The sequence below is a fragment of the Homo sapiens genome, chromosome 4, assembly GCF_000001405.40.
Source record: "Homo sapiens chromosome 4, GRCh38.p14 Primary Assembly".
Classification (NCBI taxonomy): domain Eukaryota; kingdom Metazoa; phylum Chordata; class Mammalia; order Primates; family Hominidae; genus Homo; species Homo sapiens.
The window spans coordinates 126,278,718-126,297,968 of NC_000004.12; the positions used below are offsets into that span (position 1 = coordinate 126,278,718).

General features: G+C 32.8%; 1 long non-coding RNA gene across 1 annotated transcript; it reads left to right on the plus strand.

Annotated features, from left to right (window-relative positions):
* Window positions 1-1,311: 1,311 nt before the first annotated feature.
* LOC105377410 (uncharacterized) lies at window positions 1,312-5,662 on the plus strand. The gene is made up of 4 exons (XR_939182.3): window positions 1,312-1,539; window positions 1,636-1,723; window positions 2,443-2,648; window positions 4,746-5,662. It is a non-coding gene; the product is annotated as an uncharacterized LOC105377410 (long non-coding RNA).
* The last annotated feature ends 13,589 nt before the right edge of the window (window positions 5,663-19,251 follow it).

Below are 19,251 nucleotides of genomic sequence, written 5' to 3' on the forward strand. Positions count from 1 at the left end.
GATTTCTTGGTGTAAGGTAAACAAAATAATTCAAAACTTGGTAAGATTGGACTGTTGGAATGCTTATATCAAATCAAAGGTTTTATTTGAAATGCATTTTAAAATTATATTTTATGCAGCTTATATACTTCAGATACATTTCTTTCATTTTTGATATTTGTGAACAAAGACAATTTGTTCTTTTTGATCTGCAGACTTTAGTACTGATCACCATCAAAATATATACCTACTAATGTGATTAAATAAATGACTGTATTCAGTCTACCTAACAAATAGATTCAGTACTAAAATGATTCCTGAATGAGCTGTATAACAGTAGTAAGACCAAATGACAACCACAATTTTGATATTTTTAAAACAAAAATCTCATCATATTACTTTCCACTTAAGATATCTCTGGATCATTCATTGTTCTAGAGATGAATATTTTTAAAATGAACACCAGGATGTATATAAACTACTTTCTGCCTAACCTTAGAATATCTTCATGCTACATTCCCCTCCTTGCTCTTCGTCAGCTGACATTCTTTCCCTTTCTGGAACACGACACCTTTTTCATATCACACAGTATTTGCACATATTATTCTCTGTCTGAAATTTTTTTTCCTCACCCTCCTTTACCTAGTTACCTCTTAATTTATCCTCAGATCATAAGTATTATTTGCTCAATGAAGTTTTTCTTACCACCAATCTAGATACATATCCTTTTGTATTCATTGTCATAGAACTAACCTTTGCAGTATTTAGGCCTTTCATAGTTATATATTTATAATAATTATTATTTATGATATTTAAAAATTACATATTTTTATTAGTAGTCATGTCAGTATTAGAATTCCCCAGAGAAACAGAACCAATAGTGTGTGTGTGTGTGTGTGTGTGTGTGTGTGTGTGTGTTTGCTAGATCTTTATGATGTGTCTATCACAAGAGAAAATTTTAAAAAATCATACATTTGCTAATACGAAGAGTACTGTGATAAACATCCAATGGTAAGAGAGGGGAGAATGATGAAAAATTACTTAGTGGGTACCATGTACACTAAGGCCCAGACTTCACCACTGCTCAATACATCCATGTCACAAAACTGCCCTTGTACCCCTTAAATTTATACGATTTTCTTAAAAGACAGCTTATAAGTTAATAGAGATGTTTATGCAGAATGCTGAGTAAATTACTCATTTATTTGAACTTAAGCCACTCTTTGGAAATCATTAGCAAATGCCATTTTACTTCATTATTGTCATTGTTTTATTATTGTCATTTCTTTTAATATTAATGTGATTCTTATAATTGTATTTTTATATCATTAGAAGAAAAAAAAACCCTGAATTATACGACCAATTTGCATTCTACTAGTGATTTTGATGAGAGATGAGAGGAAAACTCCATTTCCCTTAAGGAGTGCATGTTACTGGGGAGGTATGGTTTGAAAAGGTTCTCAAAGTGATTATGTTGTATTCACCTCTGTGACTCTGTGAAGAGGACATCCCTCTTGAGAATCATTACTTAACGCCAAGGAGATTCCTCTTCTGTTCAAAGTGAGTGATGCTTATGTGTTGGATTAATTTGAGGAATTCAATTGTGTCACTTATTGCCAACTGTGCTTCATATAATGTATTTACTTTTACTTCAAGGACCCTTCCATGTGCTCCTGCAGCCTTAGACATGTGCCATTCATCACTTTAGGGAAAGATTATTGGAGCCAAACCGGAAGACAAAGAGGTGAAAATCTTAGTTTGAAAATTATTAAAGGTGAGGCAAAAGCGCAAAAAAATATGGTAGGATACTTAATGCTGTTCGTTTGCTCACATGGTCATGAAATAGGTAAAGTTTTTATGTGCTGGAGGTATGGCAGATAAATTATTAGTCATATTAGTATTAGTCAGGTATTAGACAGATGGGGCTGATTGAAAAGTGTGAGAATCAGTAGAATCAGTAGAAAGATCTTGTTGAGCTCTATCTGAGCAAGCTCAGCCTACTCTAGTACCCAGAGACCCAGGTGCACCCCTGTGCAATGAGTTGGCACTGAACATCCTCTGTGCTCACACTCCTAATGCTATACTAGATGCCATTCATGTGGCTCTCTGGGGAGAGGTGCACTTCACCCAAAGACCATCAAGCAGGAATGATGTGCTTCTGTGCCCTGACATTTCTCTCAGCATCCAGCTAATTCTCTTACTCTGGATAACCCTCCTTTAGACATCCCAAGAAGATATTCCTAAATGAAATGTGGGGTCTCAGACAATGCAGTATCTAGAAGGGTGTTTGTGGCATAGAAACATTTCCTGTAATTGGCTAATCCAGAAGAAAATGGGATGTCCCATTGTGGTTCGAATAGGGTACTCACCCCACTGTTACCTATTCTTTTCCAATGTTCAATAGTGACCAATGACAAGAAATCTTTGATGCCAATGTAATTTTATAACGATTTTATTCTGCAGCTTCAGTAGTATGGTGATATTTTATCTGTGGTACCAGTGGTGTTTCCTTGATATGTTGGTGATGGTGGTGAGAGGAAGAGTCATGCCTGGAAAGTCTGCAGAACAAAACTGCCAGGTGACAATGAGCAAAAGGAAAAAAAGGAGCCTCAATTGAAAGAGGCCTTCACCAAGGAAAAGCCAGTTGAGGTGTTCAAGCTCCATCCAAGGTATGGCCACAGGTGGGTGATTTGAAGGGAAGTTGAGTGTTAATCACTCAGATTGACCTTAGCTACTTCCTCATAGACTCATGTTTTTTCCTTTCCATTGAATTAGGAGAATGGGTTGCAGAATCAAACAATTTTATTAAGGTATCTGCAATGCATTAGAAGCCCAAGGCTCAAGTATTGAGGTGTTGGTGGAGATGTGTTAAAGCAATTTTGAAAAACAGAATTATATGACAATTGCCATACCAGCTAAGAGCTAGAATATCCAATATTAGTGCCCTGAACAGGCTATGTCAATTTGCTGCCATTGCAGGGTTAATAGCCGTAATTTATTTGCAGTGCCTACACACCATCATTGCCATCTTCAACTTTGGAACAGTAGACATCAGGGAGCATGGAAGGGATAGGGGAATGGCTAACACTACATGTAATCATCTGTATAACAATATAGGAGAATTCAGATGTGTGTGTAATATTAGAGTGTTGGGAGGTCTCACAGAATTGAATGGAGTCAAAGCCAAGGAAATATTCCAACTCTGTGATTTCAAATTCCACTGAAACTCTGTGCTTCTATGGATTATAAAAGGTCATTGCAAATAGCTGCTATTAATTTACTATATTTAATAGAATATAAATCAAGGCATAGTTATTTTGTCACAGAGAAATGAGACATATGTGTTTTTCCTTTCCATTGAATTTTTTTAGACTCAGAAAGTATACTTATATCAACATGTTGTGTATCATAGGTCTTCATAAGGCAAAACATTTTTACAAACATGTTACAGGTGATGATTGTTTGGAATGCAGATTGCTCCAAACTATGTCCCATAAAAAACTAATTAAAGCATATAATCTCATACTATTCTTTTTATATTTTTAAGGCAGACCAAAAGTTTCCATGTGAAAGAAGGAGCTCTAAAAACCATCTCCACTCCTTCACACATGATTTCCTTGTTCATTGTTAACCATATACTGTAGGGTATAACATGATTGTGAAATATTCTTAAAAACTTTTAGTTCATAAAATTTGCCAGAAAAATTTTGATCCCCAAGGATAGAATACATTGATAATGAGAAGAAATTATTAGCATCATCAGGCACCCACATACTCCCCTATCATGTGTAACTGTATTATCCATATGAACCAATGTCTACTGCAGCCGTGAGCTCAGCACTCTTTTTACATGGCATATGCCAGGCAGAATACTTGGAAGCTTCTAATTTCAGAAGAACTGAAGACATGCTGGTAGCACCTATGCTTTCTGATCCTTTGAAAATTTTTTCTTCGTTGTGTTGGTAGATAAACACATCTAGGAAGTATAGAAGGTTGAGACATTATTTTTAATACATACAATGTATACATCTATAAATATACTATTTAACAGTGAGTTTGTGGTAAAACGTTGAATTGAACACTGAATCTTAATTTCTTAGCTCAACATAAACTGCAAACATGGAAACTTTTTAAGCCTTGGTGCCTGTGTCAGGACATGTCTTGAGATAAATATACTAGTCTCACAAAATCCTTGAGAGAATTCAATGAAGTAATGTCTAGAAAAAGATTAACACAATGCCTGACATAGTAAATATTCAATAAATTGTCAGTAGTGTTATCATCATAAATTATTAATAATAAATTATAATTTGAGAATAGATTTACATTAACACTTAAAGATAATAACCTTTTTGAGAACAGACTGTGCTTCATAAGTTTGTATCAGTAAAAAACATTCTCAATGTGACTCACTCTTTTTTCACTCTACTTTTTTCTTTCTCATTCCACTATTACAGTTAGGGTTTTTCTTTAGCTTTTTCATAATTCATTTAGTTTTTCCATCAATTTAATTATTTCAGTAGATAAGCCAACTAGCTCCTTTAAGAGTTTACTCACTTTTTTTTCCAGATAAAAATATGTTTCTCAACTATGGTTTGCTTGCTTAGCTGGTCTAATTTAGTGCATATTTTATAATGCTTACCTCCCCATGATGTTTACATTTTTAAATGTTACATGGAGATTACATGCATGTTGATACAAAAATTTAAATTCATAGTTTAAAGATTTTTATAAGCCTCAAATTCATGATTCTCATTTGTTTTCAGGTTAATCCAACTATTGCTATCTAAAGATTAACCTATTTACTTTATGAAGAAGTATATGAAGTTCATGCATCCCATAGTTCTTCCATATAAATGATGACACAAGAAGTCACCCAGCACATGATAAGCAGAATTGCATTGAGAATTTATACATCCTTAGCTTCTTCTGTGACGTTGATCTGTGGTATAGTAGACATTTAGTCTTACTCGTGTTTAATCCTGATAAAAGAGCCCTGGAACCAAAACAAATTTGAACCTCACTTGGTAAGTTGAGTTTGCTTTGGGCTTGTTCCATTCAATCCTAATAAGTTTAACCTTAATAAAATCTTGAAGTGTATCCTGTACAAGTCTAGCAAATTGACAGCTAAACATGTGTTCCCAATTCCTCTTTCAGTGTATTCTGATTCTCAGCGCTGCTTTTCCTTCTTTTCTAGATGCCTCCTTAACTCTATGTTATTCTCAGCTACCCAATTCTTGTATTAAATTAATTAATTGTATTTAATTTAGATCAATTGTATAGCCAAAGAGAAAAGCTGAAATCTCCCAGTCATTATATTTCTTGGCCACAGGAGTTGCCATGTTCTCTACTAAATGTATTATTCATACATAGCAGGAATAAGTGAAACCATAAAGAGCAAAGTAGCAATGAATAGAAATTTGGAAGATCAGAGAAGATTGCAATAATCCAGAACCACCTTCACAATAACTTTCGTAAGTTTTTTAAGAGTAATCAGAAATTTTTAAAGATAATTTGTTAAAATCTGGAGAATTATGTGACTCAAAGCGTGAAACAATCTGTGCAAATTTTTTTAATCACTTAACTGGAGGATTCTGGGATAGAATGCAGAATGTGAAAAAATTATCTAAATGTATTACAAATGTACAAAACAACCTCAGTCTTAGGGGTGTAGAAAAACTGTGTTGATCTAAATAACTAGAAATGAGTGGAGTCTGTAAGAATAAAGTCCAAAGAAACCACACATAATCTACATAAGCATGTATGTTAGTTGACAAAGTGGTGTCTCATGGAGCACACAGATCAACAATTCTAAAACCACTACACATGTAAACTGGAATTGAACAATTAAGTAAATGTATGGCAAATATTGGGAGTCCAAAAACTCAACTGTTGAAGTGGGAAGTTAGATTTAAGTAAAGGGAGTAAGCTTGAATAATTCACATGGTATTGGATTAGAGGTATAGACATCAGTATGAACTTACCTTCAGCTTAATGTAAATGTAGATGTTTATCTATAGAAATATATATAAATATGTGTATATGCATGGGTGATTATGCGCACACACACATTTCCTTGCTTTGTCAGCTGAGAGAGCCCAAAACAAGGAGTTGCAGCAGCAAAGAGCACGCCTCGCATCCTGCTCTTGACTGTTAATACCATTATCTAATTAAAAGAACCAAGGCTCCTTATAGAAATAGCTGACTCTTGGATTAGGACAGAAAATATGGATTATGAGCCTGGAGTATCTTGTAGTACAAGAAAGTAGGAAAATTTTCAAAACAAACAAACACATTTTTAAAAACAACCTACAATGTTGGAGGTATGTCAAAGGGACACAAGATCCAACCTTTCAAGCTTCCAAATGGCCAAAGCTAGAACAGTTGAGTAACAAAATGTAAAGTATTATTGAATTATATCTCAAAAGATGAAATAAATATCCAGATTCCATACTAATATAAATCGTTGAATAAATAAACACATGAAGGATAAGAGATCTCCCATGCCAAAGAATTCCAATTAATTTATGTCATTACTGTACCCTCAAGGAAGTGGAATGTAACTGCCCATTCCTTAAGTGTGGGCTTCATATGTGGACTTATTTACAAAGAACACAGTATGGAAAGGGTTATACAAGGGTAACTCTAGAATGGAGAACCTGGAAAACACTATCTCAACCAGGATATCAAAATTAGCATCAATAGTGATGAACCATGTTAACTGTATGTACACTTGACATGGTCTAATGAAAAACAGATTGTTACTTTGTGTTCTTCTTTCCCCCAGATTATAACTTCAGTGTAGTCATGAGAAAATCAATGGGCAAATCCCAAATGAGAGACATTCTATAAAATACCTATTTAATATTCCTCAAACCTACCAAGTTAATCAAAACCAAGAAGATAGGATGACTAAATGTAATGTGGTAATGTGGATAGGATGTTAAAACAAAAAAGGGGCATTAGGTAGAAAATAAGGAAGTCTAAAGAAACTATGGACATTACTTAACAATAATGTACCAATATTGGCTCTTCGTGGCAAAAGTACCATACTTAATGTAAGATGTCAATAATGGGGAAAACTGTGTGGTACAAGGGAAATTGCTGTACTATTTTTGCAATATTGCTAAAATAAAAACTTAGTTTTCTAAAATAAAAACTATTTGAGGAATCTACATTGACATTGCGCTGAGTTGACAGGCAGGTTACAAATAAATCTCCACACTGAGTTGAACAATAAATTGATTTTCTCTCTGTAGAAAAAATACTTGGCTTTCTAAAAGCAAGATATATATAATATATATTTAGAGATTGTTTTAGGGGCATTGTCACATACATTTAGAAGTTATTGTGTGCTTTCGACAGAGAAAAAGTAATTTATTTTCAAGTTAAATAAAAATAGAAATGTGCCTTCAAGTTTTAAAATGCTTTGCCACTTACTGAGTGATTTCATATAAGGTTTCTCATTTCTTACAAATGGGTTAGAAAATATGCTGCTATTTATAACTTTATAATGAAAAACTAAGGCTCAGAAGTTAAACAACATGTTTAGTGCCGTAAAAGAGCACATGGGAAAGTCAAACGCAAAAATTATCTCTTCCAGTTCAGTAATGTATTTTTCAACTTTCCTTTGAAAAAAACATCTAATGAGGTTCTTCAGTCTTTTGAAAGGTAAGGGCATGTTGGAGTGCTGGAATTTACTTCAGCTGCCTTTAAAGAGTACAGTGTTAAATAATGTTCAACGACAAGGAAGCTTAAATATGTTTGTACACTTTCTACTTTCCCTTAGTGTCAGAGGCTAATTTTTATTTTAATACAAAATAAAGCAACTTTTCCATGTCAGGAAGAAGATCCACAAATTTTTCGCATCAGGACTGTGGATCAGTACATCTTTGGATCTCCATGTCAGGAACTAAACCGACCTGTCTACAAGACTAACATCCAATGACAAAAAGTCCAAATGCCCTAATCTTCTCCATGCTCCCAATATAAAGATTTCTGATTCTCAGATAACATCTCTACTTCTCTTTACTTCTGATATTGATCTAATAGCTACTGGTATTTTGCCTTCCATTTCAGCCTAATAAAAGTAAATGCAGTTCTCTAGGTATTCACCGAGGATTGTTTCTAGCCCTTCCCCATACCAAAATCCAGAGATATTCAAGTCTATTATATAAGATGGTGTAGTATTTGCATATAACCTACCTACATCCTCTCACGTACTTTAAATCATCTCTAGAGTTCTTAAAGTACCTAATGCAATGTAAATACTGTGTAAATTGTTGTTGTACTAATACTATGTTGTTTAGGGAATGATGGCAAGAAAAAAGGCCTGTACTTGTTCAGTGCAGACAAACAATTCATTTTTCTTGTCTGAATATTTTCAATCTGTAGTTTCTTGAATCCACAGATGTGGAACTCATGGATACAGAGGGCTCATTCTACTTTGCTTCAATTAAAATAGAATTTCACATTCGTTTAAAAGTAGTGGCATTCTTGTTCTTTTTCTTCCTTTTTAGTATTTTTACTGGTAAACTAACTCCTGCATCCTCTCCCTATTAACCAGGAGAGACTGTCCATAGGCTCCAGATCCATTTGGCCCACAATTTATACCTGACTATTGTAAACCCCTTCCCCATAGGTACAGTAATTATTTCATGAGTGGACATGTAATAAAAGTTGATGAGATTAAATTCAATCCTGAAATTTGTAGGTTTTAAATGGCAAACAGAGCTTTTCACTCACCATTATTTTTTCACAGTTTTATTGAGTGATAACTTATAGGTCATAAATTCTGTCTGGAAGTATACAATTCCACAATTTTTAGTATATCTATTCACCTTGTGCAACTTTCACTCAAAATTCACTGTTAGAACATTTCTACTAACCCAAATAGTCGCCTCATACCTGTGTGCAGTTAATTCCTCCTCTAACTACATCCTTAGAGAGCCACTTATCTGCTGTCTGTCTATAAATTTTTCTTTTCTAGACATCTTATGTAATTAGAATCAAGCAACTTGAGGCCGTTTGCATCTGATTTATTTCATTAAGAAGAACGTTGCGGGCTTTTTGCTTGTTTTTTTAGATGAAAGCATGTTGTGGTATGTATCGATAAAAGGAAAAAGTGTGTCTTTCCTATTACTGATTAGTTACTCTATTGTGTGGCTAAGGCACCTTAGTTTATGCATGCAACTATTGATAGACATTTGGATTAGACCCTTCCAGTCTTCAGCTTCTATGAATAATGCTGCTATGAACATTTACTGACAAAAGCTTGTGTGGACATAAATTTTCAATTCTGGTAATTAGATTTTTAGGAGTGGCATTACTGGGTCATATGGAAAGCTTATGCTTAACTTTTTAAGAAACTGAGGAATTATTTTCTAAAGTGGCTGTACCGTTTTATATTACCCTCAGCAATACACAAAGATTCCAGTTTCTCCAAACCCCTGCCAACACTTGGTGTCGCTTATGGTTTTTAATATAGGCATTCTCATATTAAGTGGTACTTCATTGTGGTGTTAAGATTTCTCTAATAACTAAGGATTTTAAGCGATTTTACCTGTGCTTATTAGCTATTTATATGTGCTCTTATTAGCTATTTATATATGCTCTTTAGTAAAATCTGTCTTTAAATAGCATGCCTACTTAAGAAAATTGTTATTTATCTCATTACTGTGTTTAAAGAATTTTTCAGTTACTATATACAAATTCATCATGATATAAAATTTGCAAACATTTTTCCATTTTATTGATTGTTCTTTCTTTTTTAAAGATCTTTTGAAATACAAAAGTTTTTAATTATGAAAAAAATCAATTTTTTCTTTGTACTATGAATTTGCTTTTGTTACCATATCTAAGAGCCCTTGACTGGCCCAGTTTCATGAATATTTTCTCCTGTGTTTTATTCTAAATTCCTACTTTTTCTCATACATTTAGGTTAGACTATTTGTTAATGTTTGTGTTTATATGGGGTGAGGGTCTAGGTTCCTTTTTATGTCCAATATTCCCAGAATCATTTGTTGAATTTAAAGTTTTCCGCATTGGCTTATCTTGAAGAGTTTGTTGAAAATCAATATACTTTAAAAGTAAGCATTTACTTCTGAACTCTTGAGTCGGTTTTATTGCTTTCTCTGTCTATCATTATGCCGGTACCACGCTTTTTTTTTTTTTATTACTGTGGCTTCATCATAAGTTTTAAAATTGGGTAGTGTCAGTCCTTCAATCCTATTATATTTTTTACATATTGTCTTGGCTATTCTATGTCCTTTACATTCTCATGTAAATATTAAAACCAGATTGTAAATTTCTAGAATTTTTATTGGGCTTGCAATGAATTTACAAATTCATTTGAAGAGAATTGTCATCCTGAATGTATTTTTCCTTTAATTAATAATAACAGATTATCTCTCAATTTATGTGGACCTTCTTTATTTTCTCACTGCAAACATTTTATACAATTCTGGGTATAAACCTGAAACTTTGAAAAATGTATTCCTGTATACTTTTACCTTTCTGATGCCATTATGAATGAAACTTTTTCTTAATTTTATTTTTAGATCACTCTTTAATAGGCTTTAGAAATACAAATGATTTTTATATTGATCCAAACTAGGTAAACTGACTTACACATTTTAGGAGATTTGTGTGTGCATGCATGTGTGTGTGTCTTCTTTGGATAATCAGCCTATTAGATCCTGTCATTTGCAAGTAAAGATAGTCTTACTTCTTTCTAGTCTTGATGACATTAATCTTTTTCTCCCTTGCTTTCTTCTTTTGTACCCACATTTACACACCTTATTACAGTACCTGTAACTAGTACTATTTAAATAAAACTGGTGGCATGGACATCTTCGATTTCTTCTTACTTTTAGGGGATTAAAAGCATTTTTGTTTCACCATTAAATGTAGCTTAGCTGTGAGTTTTTCAGATATTTGTTTTTCTTTCAGATTGAGGAAGTCTCTTTCTATTTATAGATTATTGAAGGTTTTTATATACAGTGTTGAATTTTGTCAAATTATTTCTCTGCCTCTGTTGAGATATTTGTGTATGTCTCCTCCCTTTTTTGTTAGTATGACAATTATATTAATTGGTTTTAGTAAGTTAAATACATAACTGGGTTATGATATATGATCCTTTAAAAATGTTTCTGGATCCAAGTACTTTGTAATGATCTTTACGTTTACATTCATGGAGCGTATTAGCCTGTAGCTTACTTTCCTTGTGATGTCTTTTTGTGGCTTTGGTATATGGACAATAATGACCTTATAGAATGAGTTTAGAAGTCCTCCCTCCTCTATATTCTGAAAGAATGCTATATACCCTTGATTTACGATTGGCAACTCAGGTAATAGATGCCTGCCATCCAGGCTCATGAAACTTAATTGTAAAAGTAACAAAGTTATATAAATACTTGATTAACCAAACTAGAATGAATAATTGCATGTTAGTGATATGGTGGTGTCAATAATTATAACAAATTTATCCATAAAAATATTTAAATTTTTATTTCTATTTATTGAAACTAATTGAGACAGGCATTTTAATGCATACACTGGGTCTTAATTAGAACATTTTTGAATTTTGTTTATGATATAATAAGATATAAAAACTCTGAGATGGTTTATTCCAGTTTTATATATACATTTAATAGAGTTGATAATGTATTTATCTTGAAACACAAAAGATGATTAAAATATTGAGGGAATAATTTGAGTGTTACCTCTTTCTTGATGGATGTGTAAAAGCAAATTTCTAGCATTAATTTGCAGTAAAACTTTCCAATTTTGTTTAGATGTCATAGGGGTTTTGAGCAAGAGAAGCATTTGTATAACTTCTTTAACTTTTATTATATTTTATTACTTTTCTGGTAAATTCATTAATATAAGTCATTTACCCTGTTCACAGGTATTACTTATAGTAATTGGTGGTTTCCACTCCTTGGAAATTAAAGCTTGGCTTCATAATGCTGTTGCTGTACATTTATATTTGATGACATTTAATGTACTTGAAATGATGAATAACTGACAAATAAAATGATTTTTGGGGCATTCCTCCATAAATATTTTGACTAACAAAATATTTAAGAAAAATACCCAGCATCATATCCAAGCTTTAAAACTTTTACAAAAAAAAAAGTAAACTACCTACTTTTAACTTTATTGAAATGCAATTAGCATACTATATAATACATCCATGCAAGGACATAATTTAATGGTATTTAATGTAGTCACAGAGTTGTGCAATCCTCATCACAATATTAGAACATTTTATATCTCCAAAATAAAGCCCACGCTCATTCATAGTTACTTCTCATTTATCTCAAGTAATGTCATCCTTAGGAGAACCCTATTCTGCTTTCTCTTTCTATAGATTTTTCTGTTCTAGATATTTTAGTAGAAATCTAATCATATGATATGTAGTCATTTGTGACCAGCTTCGTTCACTTAACATAATGTATTCAAGCTTCATTCATGTTGTAGGGTATTTAAAGACTTCATTTCTTTTAATTTCTAAATGATATTCCTGTGTGTGTGTGTGTGTGTGTGTGTGTGTGTGTAATTGTATTTATCTACTCAGTTGACTGACACTAGGGTTTTCTTTACTTCTTTGACATTCTTAGGAATTATACTGCTATGCACATTCATGTACGAGTTTCTGTGTGGGGATATCTTTTCAGTTCTCTTGGGTATATACCTAGGAATAGAATTGCTGGGTCATATGGTAACTCTATATTTAACATTTTGAGGAACTGCCAAACTGTTTTCTAAAATGGCTTTACCAATTAATATTCTCATTTGCGAGGAATGATGTTTCCAATTTTTTTACAGTGTCACAAACACTTGTTTTCTTTCTTTTTGATTATAACCTTCCTAGTGTGTGTAAAATATCTTATGGTGGATTTTATTTGCATTACTCAAATGGGTAATTATTTCATGTGCTTATTAGACATTTGTATGTATTCTTTAGAGAAATGCCTATTCCAATCCATTGTACTTTTAAAATTTTGATTTATTGTCTTTTTGTTATTGTGTTGCATTATTTAAATATCCTGTATACAAATTCCTTATCAAATAAATTATTTTCAAATGTTCTGCCTCATTCTGAGTTGTATTTTCATATTTCTTTCAGTGTCCCTTGAAGCATAAAAGTTTTTAATTTTGATGAATTTCAGTGTATTTATTTTTCTTTTATTGTGTTTTTGGTGTTAAATCTAATAGGAGCTTCTCAAACCCAAGGTCATAAAGATTTACTTGTATGTTTCCTTTCAACTGTTTAATAATTTTAGCTCTTAGGTTTTGTTCTGTGTTCTGTTTGACGTTATTGTTTCTGTCTGACATAAGCAAGAGATCTAACTTCATTCTTTTGCATGCAGATATACAGTTGTCCTAGAACCATTTGTCCTAGAACTTGTTCTGTGTAATTGAATTGTCTTGGTGTACTTCCCTTGAAAGTCAACTGTTGTATATCATTTACTTTCTTTTATAATCTCAAATGATGACTTTTCAATTGGACTTTATTGTTCTGTTCTATGTTAATATACTTAATGTTGTCAAATGGATCTAATAAATAACATTTGCTTTCTTGTCTCATTTCTTATGTATTTTGCTTCTGGATCTACTATCTTTATAAATGTATATGTCAATTGTGTGCTAAATTTTAAGTCATAAAATATGTACAGTGATTGTCTTCTTTGATAAATCAGGCATCAAACATTTTGAATTGATAAATTTTGGAAGTATTTGACTCGAGCTTTTGCTAACTATAATAAAAATGCAGATTGCTACCGTAACTATAAGGGAACATTTTTAGGTTCAAGATCCTTCTTGATCAAGGTGAAACAGAAAATTCACCAGCTTCCTTGACAGCTAGTACAGAGGCAGGTAAGTTTACACGCAACAGTCAACTGTTAGGGCATTTACGTTCCTAAATGTGTAATTGAAGACATTAAGCACTGGGCCTAATCTATTTTCTTTGTCATGGTGGCAGCAGAAGCATCTGTAATTAATTAGTATCAGAGTTAGCAATGTCTCAGGCCTATGCAGAGATGTTTTCATGAAAAGGCCTGAAAAAAGCATCATTGCTATTTTCTCTAGAGCTTGGCTGCTAACTAGCAGGAGGGCAGTGGTATTTTCATTACGCTATATCTACAGTGGTGTTTATGACATGTTTCCTGAAAGGTTAGCCTTAAACTCATTCTCTAGAAAGTTCAACAATTCTGTAAACTACTTAAATATTCTCTAGTAAATTCCTTTTCTATTTACAGAGATAAAGATATTTTTTCTTGCTTTCAAGTGACAACTTAAAAGATATAATATTCTATACCATCCTGGAGTATATCAATAATAATCCTATATGAAGCCATGATGTCAATTTTGTAATACAATTTAATTCAAAATAGACTTGATTGAAAAATATTATTGAAGTAAGAGATGTCACAGAGATTTCAAAAATAAGAACATCTATCTATAAGTTATATTGTCTCCCTGAAAGATTCATGAATCACGCACAAATACCATTGCAAATTTAATTTTGGCATAACTTTAAAAAGACAGTTTTAAAATATTAACATATCAAACACAAATGATATTAATACATTTGCATATTTAGGTGAGTTGGTACCCATACACCTGGGATAAAAGTTACTAGTTACTCCTGTAGACTCACTGAACAAAATTCAGCTCAGAAATTTGTATTCTTCTGAATTCTTAAACAGTGAATTAGATAAGTATAAACGACTTTAAGTGTTCTCAATCATTTCTGACTCTAGTATAATCTTGCCAAAAATAATACATAGATAAAAAATAGAGATTTTTATTGTTCACTACATGATATCAAACTCTTCAAGAAAAGCCAAATTTCAATCAATATTCCACAAACATTTATTAAATGGCTGTCAAGTATAGTGTAATGTATCATCATTGTACTTATTTGGAACTATAATTTATAGTTTATTGTCTTTGATTTAATTTTTTATTCTCAAACGTAACAGAAGTATTTACAAATTATGATATTCCATTTTGTGTTCTCTGAAGTATAAGTATGTGTTAATGGTTTGTTTGGCAGTATATATGAAAAGCCAACCATGTTTACTGAGGTTTAAAATATTCTTGTAGGCTCTGAAGAATTTTTTTAGGTATAGCTACAAAATTCAATACACTTAAAGATTATCTTGTTTCTTCTTTTCTGCGGCTTGCCACACAACATCTACAGGATGAACTAGAAACCAAAGTCACAGATGGAAACAGTGATTGAATTCCTCAGCCTATGAAGATCACCTCATTGGCAGTCTTAGGCTTCTCTTTTTCTACATGATTTGAAACTGCAGCTAAACTTTAAAGCAAATAGTATATAGAAATGTAATGTCAAGTTTATTGTTAGGGCAATCAGCACCCTTAAAGACAAGCTTCACAGAGAGATCCTAAGATGAATGGTGACATGGTTCAATACTCTTGAAAGTTATCAATTGAAACAGTGGTCATACAAAAATCTCATTTCCATTTCATTCTTGCCTTTTACAGTTCATTATTCTATTAATAAATTTTTGTTGCTTTTTCAAGAAAAAGGGAGGTATACAATAAATTAAAGGGATTAACATTTATAGAATGCAACTATGTTGTAACTGCGTTAAGTTCCTAGACGTTAAGATTACTTTATAAAACACTGAGATTGCTTTGTCATTTTGGGAACTATCAGTATGAGTTGGAGTGAAAAATTGAAATATTTCGAATATATATCTTTTAACTTCTATTTTAAGTTCAGGAAGTACATGTGCAGGTTTGTTATATAGGTAAACTTGTGTTATGGGGGTTTGTTGTTGTTGCATGACACAGGTTTTAAGCCTAGTACTCATTAGTTATTTTTCCTGATCCTCTCCTTCCTCCCAGCATACACCCTCCTATAGATCCCACTATGTGTTGTTCTTCTCTATGTAGCTATGTGTTCTCATTGTTTAGCTCCCACTTATAAGTGAGAATATGTGGTATTTGGTTTTCTGTTCCCGCATTAGTTTGCTAAGGATAATTGCCTCCAGGTCCATCCTTGTGCCTGCAAAGGACATGATCTCATTCTTTTTTATAGCTACAGGGTATTCCATGGTGTATATACACCACATTTTCTTTCTCCAGTCTATTGTTAAGGGGCATTTAGGTTGAGTCCATATCTTTGCTATTGTGAATAGAGATGCAATGAACATACGCGTGCATGTGTCTTTATAGCAGAATGAATTATATTCCTTTGGGTATATACCGAGTAATGGATTGCTAGGTTGAATGGTATTTCTGTCTTTTGAAAATAACAATGAATTAAAATATTACAAACATCTACCACTCAGAAATAACCATTGTTAATATTTGGAGTATAAGCTTTCAGTTTTTTATATCTAGTTTTGTCTATCTATTCATTTATTTATTTGTTCTTCCATGTGTCCATTATTAGTAAACTTAATATATCCCTACCACTGGGAATTAAATTGTCACTTTTGTTTGTTCCCTTATTGAGTTATTTTGCTCTGTTCTGCTATTGTAGAGGACAGAAATAAACATTCCTAGAGCAAAAACTTGGTACACATCCATGAAAATAATTTCTAAATTTTAAATTGTGAATCTAGGGTATGGATATTTTTACGATTTTGTGAAACTGAAGGTTTTTAACCACTCAATAATACAGCATGAGGGTATTATTTTCATAACGGTGTAATTTTCTTAACACTGAATATTATCATGCCTTTTACACCTTACCACGCTTCAAAGATGTCTTAATTTTTGTTCACCTATGTCCAACATAATGCTTAAATTTTGTAGTCTCTCAGACATGTGGCTGTTTTTCCACCTTCCTTACCTCATGGAGTGGTTCTCAAACTCTTTGGCTTCCTTACCATCCATTGACTACTAGCAATCCAAATAAGACTCTGAATGTTTCTCAATGCTTATGGACTCCTGATATCAACTGTTGGTCCCAACTGTTGATTACTTCATACTTCTTCAGTGTTCTTAACAACCAATATGGCTGCAATTGCAACACATTTTAGTAGTGGTTAAAATATTTATCTCTTTTATGATACTTCCCAGGTTCTGTGATTTCAAGATAGATAATCTTGGGGAAACAGGTACATTCTTATGTTATTGTTTAAATGTTCTCATTCAGCTAAAAAGTTTTATTCATATTTCTCAGCGGAATATTGTTTTTTAGGACGTATCAGCAGACAACCCAACTAAGCAGACTTGTGGAAAGGAAGTAAATTAAAATATGGGCAGTAAATTGCTGAAGTTGAATAAAAATTGAAAGCAATAAATCAAATAATTTCCAGTGTCATGCCATGGTTATATTATTTTTTATTATTCTTTCATAAAAATTCAATAGATCTTTCTGTAAATATAAAAATGTAGTAATTGTGTCTTGACCACTTAAAGGAGCATTAATATGCTTTTTAATGAGAACTATGGCTATAGAAAGAAAACAATTAGAAATTATTTTTGCAAACACCAAAGCTTAAGAAGAATAAAACCTATTGGTTTATTGGAGACCTTATAACAGCTGCAACACATAAACATTTCCTTACACATACCCTCTTTAATAGAGTAAATATTCACTGAAGGACTAATAGGTGTCAGGCACTGAGGTAGTGGCTAGAAATAAATGATAATAAAACAGACCATATTCTTACCTTCCAAATACATGTAGTGTGTTAGGAATTACAGATAATAGAATACAAACATGAGAGTGCTATATCAAAGAAGTAAAGTGTCTGGAGGCCACAATGGCTTATAACTTAGTCTAGAAGAATTAATGAAGACTTCCATAAATAAACAATATATAAGACTAGGACTGGCATGGTGACTCACGCCTGTAATCCCAGTACTTTGGGAACCCGAGGTGGGTAGATCACCTGAGGTCAGGAGTTCGAGACCAGACTGGCCAACATGCTGAAACCCTGTCTCTACTAAAACTGCAAAAATTAGATGGGCATAGTGGTGCAACCCTGTAATCCCAGCTACTGGGGAGGCTGAGGTTGGAGAATGGCTTGAACCCGGAGGTGGAGGCTTCGGTGAGCCAAGATCGTGTCACTGCACTCCAGGCTGGGTGGCAGAGCAAGACCCCATCTCAATAATAATAACAATAATAATAATAAAAATACCAGAATGAGAAGTAGGCAGGATAACACAAACAGTGGGCATATTAGGAATGAATGCTCAGAGCTTAAAAAGTTTAGTGCATGGATAAAGTTAAATGGGGATGTAATTTATTGAGTATGGGATGCTAAGTGAAAAACAGAAATGCCAGGAGAAATCAGCCAGGTCCAGTACCTCTGGGGCTGAATAAGACATCATAGTTTTTCTTTTATTCTAATAAAATCGGGAAAAATTTTGCAATGCTTTGCACAGAGTATTTACATGAGCAGATTTGTGTATTTGAAAGATCACTTCCACTAGTGTTGAGTTGTGATTGAAGAAAAACACAGCTTGAGGTGAGGATACCTGTTTGAAATCTGTTTTGTTATTCAAATAACACCAAATATTAGCATAATAATTATACGATTGTGGCTTGGAATAAATGGGAAAGAATGAAAACAGAAACAAGTAAAATGATTTTGAAGACATTTTGAATGTTTAATTATAAAGCTTTGGTGGATTGTGTATGCGCAGATTGGAAAAGAGGTAAAATCCATGGATTTGTCCTAACATTCTGGGTTGGTCATCCAGGTATTTGGCTGCACCAAACATTAGGCACCCATGAAAGAAAGAACCAGCACATTAAAAGAAGAAAAATAATGAGATTTCATGAAGACCTGGAAGTCCTTGATCTCACCTAGAGAGATGACACGGGATGAAAAGGGAAAAGTTTTCTGAATAGAATCATGAAGGAATTCAAACTTGGAGATAAAATTTTCAAACTCAAGTTTCTTCTGGGGCAAGTAAGGTGATATAAATTAATAAAACAATGTAGATTTTAAAAAATAAACAACAGCATATGCTGATTATATGTGGCCACTGACACCATGATTCAGTCAGGATACAAAGCACGTGATGGAGACTATGGTAGACTCCAGAACAAATGCCTTTAATTAGTTGTCACCAGTTTTTCCAATTATAAAATTTATCAAGAAAATGTCAAACTCTGGACATTAGTGTGATGTTTCAATAGGACAACTAATTAATTGTAAAAAACAAAAGCATATGTGAATCACAAACAAAACACAATGGTGGACCAGATTCTACATAGGGCCATTCCATCTCACTTTAGGAAATACAATGAGAAAAATAATTTAAAAA